Source organism: Homo sapiens, chromosome 10 (genome assembly GCF_000001405.40).
Source record: "Homo sapiens chromosome 10, GRCh38.p14 Primary Assembly".
Taxonomy (NCBI): Eukaryota; Metazoa; Chordata; class Mammalia; order Primates; family Hominidae; genus Homo; species Homo sapiens.
The window spans coordinates 124246407-124252089 of NC_000010.11; the positions used below are offsets into that span (position 1 = coordinate 124246407).

General features: G+C 48.6%; 1 annotated feature.

Annotated features, from left to right (window-relative positions):
- Positions 1123–1623: an enhancer, noted in NCBI's record as "H3K4me1 hESC enhancer chr10:125936098-125936598 (GRCh37/hg19 assembly coordinates)". NCBI's record gives its function as "activates a minimal SCP1, AML or CMV promoter by ChIP-STARR-seq in primed H9 embryonic stem cells {active_cell/tissue: H9 hESC(primed)}" and the evidence as "EXISTENCE:reporter gene assay evidence [ECO:0000049][PMID:30033119]".

Sequence of the window (5683 nt, forward strand, 5' to 3'; positions counted from 1 at the left end):
GACCTTCCTCATAGAGAACCATGGGAGGATTGATTGAATGAGAGCTTTTTATGTTAATGATTAGAACAGTGTCTGGCATAGTACACACTTAAAAAAAAAAAAAAAAAAAAAAAAAAAAACCAAGACCGGGCAAGGTGGCCCACACCTGTAATCCCAACACTTTGGGAGGTTGAGGCAGGCAGATCACTTAAGGTCAGGAGTTTGAGACCAGCCTGGCCAAGACAGTGAAACCCCATCTCTACTAAAAATACAAAATATTAGCTGGATGTGGTGGTGTGCACCTGTAATTCCAGCTACTCTGGAGGCTGAGGCAGGATAATCACTTGAGCCCGGGAGGCGGAGGTTGCAGTTAGCTGAGATTGTGCCACTGCACTTCAGCCTGGGTGACAGAATGAGATTCCATCTCAAAAACACATAAAAAAAAAAAAAAAACCTAGATACTTCCATTATGATGATTACCTTATTATCTCCTTAGTTCCCAAACTGGAAACTTCTCATTCCTCTTCTCACTCACCCTCATGCTGGCCCTTGCAGTGGGAGACAACAGGAGACAGGTCACTGTGGTCACTGTGCCAGCTCTCCACCATGCACTCCTCCACTGCAGGGGCCAGCAGCTTCTGAAGTGCCCCCCCGTGATCCCCACCCCCTGGCATTTATGTCCTTGAAAGTGGACTTGTCTTAGTGACTTACTTCTCATGTGTAGGACCCAGCAGAAGTACCAGAACATCACTTTGGGATTAGGTTATAAAAAGACTGCAGCTTCCGTCTTGCCCTCTCTTGGATGGCCCACATTGGGGGAAGCCATCTGCCATGTCATGAGCCAGCCCTATGGGGATGTGTATGTGAATGACCTCCCCAACCAAACCTTGAGAAGGCTGAAGCCCCAGCAACCCCTTGACTAAATCATCATAAGAAACCCTAAACCTGAACTTCTTCGGTAAGCTGCCCCTAGATTCCTGACCCACAGAATAGTGAAATAAATGTGTGCAAATAAATGTGCACCTAAGTTTTGCGGTAATTTGGTATGCGGCTATAGACACCTAACACACTCAGCAAACTCCTACTCATTGGTCAAGACCCAGGTGAAATGCCCCCTCCTCCATGAAGCCTTTCAAAGTACTTTGTACTTGTACTTATCCCATGATCAGTTCTCACGCTGTTCTGTCATTTCAGTTTACAAGACAAGCCTGCTCCCACCATGAGGCCTTGATCTCCTGAAGGGTAGGGACAGGGTCTTGGTCATCCAGGCCAAGCACAGAGCCTGTCAGTCAGTCAGTCAGCAGGACCTCAGTCATTGTTTAGTCAAAGAATAAGTGACTTACACAGCAGCCGCCACCCTACAGGCCACCATCTTGCACACTTCCCTTCTGGCTCCAGGAGGCTGCCTGGTGTGCTCCACCTGGAGTCCACAGGCTGGCCAGCTCGAGCTTGGGCCCAGTCCTTACATCTGCCCCAGAGGAGGTGACAATGATTTCAAAGATCATACCAGCGCACACCCAGCCTCCCACCCAAGCCAGCATGCCCCGTCACCATGGTCAGTAAGAGTCCCCAGGGCAGGGCCCAGAGGGGTAGAAAGGAGACAGCTTTCTTGCTGGATGTGTCTGTCACTCCAAGTGTGGGTTCCTTCCAGTAAGGAAGGACAGCTCTCCATGCCCTGCGCAGGCAGTGAGTGGGTGAGAGAGAGAGGAGTGAGCGGGCAAACCGACAGATGGACGGATGGATGGGCGGTGGGACCACAGACTGGATTCCTCTATAGACACGCCAGGCCTTCAGCTCAGGTGCAGCACAGCTTCCTGGCATGCGTGCTGGACTAGGGACTGGGTCCTCACATCCACATCAAATGCCTGCTCCCCAGGGACACTGGGCAAGTCCTCTCCCTGTGTGTGCCATGCCCTTTGACACACAGCCTCAGGTCATCCCACAACACGCCCAGGACTTGCCATCTCACAGATAGGGAGAGTGAGGTGGACGGAGGCTGAGCAGCTTGTTCAAGGTCATGCACACAGTAGAGCCAGGAATCCCTCCATGGCCAAGTGGGCCCCTGACACTAGATGCTGGCCAGGGTCACCAGGCGACCTGGACATCCCTCAGCCTTTCACAACACCACTGGAGTGGGTTGAAGGGTGATCTCCAAAAAGACACGTCCATGTGATAGCAGAACCTGTGATTGTGACCTTATTGGGAATTTTTTTTTTCTTTGCAAATGTAGTTTAAGGACCTCAAGATGAGATCATCCTGCTTTAGGATGGACCCTAAATCCAGTGACACACGTCCTTGTGAGACACAGAAGATACACAGAGGGGAGGGCCAGGGGAAGACAGAGGCAGAGACAGGAGTGAGGTGGCCACAAGCAGGGAAGGGTGACTGCCCGCAGCCACCCCAAGGTGAAGAGGCTAGAAGGGGTTCTCCCTGCAGCCTCCAGCGGGGCGTGACCCCACCGACACCTGGAGTTTGAACTTCCGGCCTCCGGAACTGTGAGAGAATGGATTCCTATTGTTTTTAGCCACCAACTTTATGGTGATTTGTTGCCACAGCCCTGGTAAAATAATGCAACACCTTACATAGAAAATGGCTATTTCTGCAGCACACTCAGGTACACTGAGGCTGCTTATGCTGGACACTCCCAGCCTGGGGGTGTTGGCTGCCACCCCCGCAAGCCTCACCAAGGGCTGAGATATCAAAACACCCAGGTTTTGGCACCTGATAAAACACCATGTCACCTGAAAAGCCCTGGCTCAGAAACTCCGCCAGGAGCATCCTGAAGTGTCCACGTCCCTCTCGCCCACGTTTTTGGTGCACTGTGACTCTAATATGCTTCATTGGTAGTTGATTTTCCCCCACTGATTTTAAGTGAGGGTTTGGTGGAAATGACAGCCATGACCCCCACCCCGATCAGAGTGGACAGCTGGCTCAGGGTATCCTGGGGCTTGGCAGAACTTATGCAGCAGTGTGTGACCTGGGGGCATAGGTGCAGAGATGGGGTGGCGAGTTCCCTGAGGTTTTGGGCGGAACACTGGCCAGGGGTTGTCCAGCCACAGTCAGCCTCAGCCATTTCCTGCCATCCATCCCTATCCCGATTAACCTCCCAGGCAGGGACAGGTGGTTTCCACCTGTCGTTGACATTGTCGTCAGATATTAACTGAGGTGATCTTAGGAACTCCAAGTTCCTGAGAACTTCTTAAGCCCTGAAATTCTTTCATACAACTTCCTACACCCTTCACAGTGGTGGCTGGTGGTTTGTTGTGTCTTGTTTTGTTCTTTACAGCAGGCTTACCATGGTTTTCTTCCGTTTTAAAGAGAAAAAAAAAAAGGAAAGGATCTGAAAAGTCTTGAAGGGACATGTTTATGAATCTAAACTTGGCTCACCTTGTGGTGGATACAGCAGACACATCACTGACCTGCTGGAGAGGCCTCGAGAGCTACAGTGGTGTAGACCTTGCTTGTGGGGAAGAGTAGGCACCAGCAATTCCAGCAGGACAGAGATGAAACCACCTGAAAAATCCTCCTCCCTGTCTTCAACCTTGGAAATGCAAGCCCAGCCAGGATGGCTGGTATCTGGTCAGAAGCCAGCCCGCCCTCTATGACAGCTGAGCAAACCTTCCTAGAACTCCTGGAGACAAGGACACAGGGACAGCTCAGAGGACTTGGGAACCCAGCACCCTGTGCTGTTAGCCCGTCAGCACTACTGTTATTTTTGCTTGCCAATTTCACAACAGTGACCCGCTCAGGTCCCAAAAGAGTAGGTATTTTATTAGTATGAGATCTGCTCTTTCGTGTTCCTCAATATTGGCTAAGGTATATAAATTGTAAATAGCGCCCCCTAAGGCAAGTGCTGTGGGATCATTGCTATCATCATCCTTGGTGTCTGCAGGAAACCAATGACCATGTCGTGAAGACACTCAAGAAGCCCTCTGGAGAGGTGCACATGGCAAGGAACTGAGGCCTCCTGCCCACAGCTGCACATACATGCCAGCCACATGCGGAGCCACCTGGGGAGGAGAGTCTCTAACCCCAGACCAACCTTCAACGATGGCAGCCCCATCAATATCAGACTACAGCCTCATGAGAGACCGCAAGCTAGACCACTTACCACTCCCAAATTCCTGACTGCAGGACCTGTGTGTGTTAGTAAGTGTATATTCTTGTTTTAAGGCACTAAATATGGGGTAATCTGCTACCAGTAACAGATAACTAGTGCAGCCCTACATAACAGTGATTGTGTGAGGACAGGGAGTGAGGAGCGTCTGATCACTCCACGGCCAATTTCAGGGCATCAAACCCCCATGAGAAGGCTGGCTGAACAGCAGCACAGATGGAGAGCGCAGCTGAGCCGGGGCCACTGAACTGCCCAGGAAGGAAAGCAAAGGCAGGGAATGGGCCAAGACAGTCCCAGAAGACAAGTAGAGGCGTGCTGTGAGTGCACACCCAGCCGATTATACTCCACTCTAGCAGGTGCAAGGTAGAATAGCATTTAAAAATAAGAATTCCCCAGACCTCTCACTGTGTTTGCAAAACCCAGCCAGCTGTCTAGGGCATTGTTCCAATGGAGGAAGGAAAAGTTCTGCAGGATATTATAATTTTACCCCAAAAGAATCACTCAGGAAGTAAAAGAGTCCGAACATTGGCTCCAGACCAAGGTGGGACTGGGGCACATGGCCTCTGGGGACAGAAGACCCAGCACTACCCATCTCTCAGCCTTGGTTTCCTCCTCCACAGCACTGCCTTTAATAGCACTTGGCTGCGATGATCAGATCAGGTGAGACATATGAGTGTTTTGCAAACTGTAAGGTGCTTTGCAAATTATAAAGTAACTACAACTAAATATATAAGGCCATTGTTTTCAGAGGAAACATATCTCTACCCAGTCCTAAGGCACCAGCTGTCTCAGAGACAATGTTGAACACTAAAACAAAATACAACACACCAAAAGCAGGGCAAAAACACAGACTTCATGCCCTCATCAGACTCCAGGAGACCTGGATTCAGCTTCTGGACTCAGAGCTTGACAGCTGTGCCAACTTGGACAAGTCGTTTTCTCATTTGTAAAACAAGGAAGTGGCACAGGAAAACCTCCAAGGTCCCTCCAAGGCCAAAAGTTGTATTAATCTGTACGCCCTGCTACCTAGATAAGCCTCTGAGAAAAATGTACTAGGTAGTGTTTCCCATGAAATCACCACGAGCTCGCTGAAATTGCTTTGCAAATTTGCCTTGCAAATTGCTTTGCTCCTTCTACCTGTTTCTATCTATTGGAGTACTGTTTACCACAGACCTAGAGAATCATAACAATATAATCAAGTTAAAATAACTGGTAGATTCTGAATTTTGTGCCCCCAAGCAGAGAATACACCTTTTTCTCAAATTATCAGTGGAAATTTGCAAAACACTTACCAAATACTTATACAAAAAATAACTTCTTTAAATTACAAAAAGCAGAAACTGTGCAAGCCATTCTCCAAACCACAAAATGCAACAAAGCTAGGCTAGAATGCTGAAAGTCTGAAGAACCAAAAATAGACAATTCATTTGGAAACTAAAATATTCTTTACATTGGCTTCAGAAAATGAATAAAAAATACAACAGAAAATTAAAATATGACTTGTCAAAGCTTACTGCATACTACCAAAGCTGTATTAGGAGGTAAATTTGTAATATTAAGATGCCTTCATTGTTAAAATAAAACAAA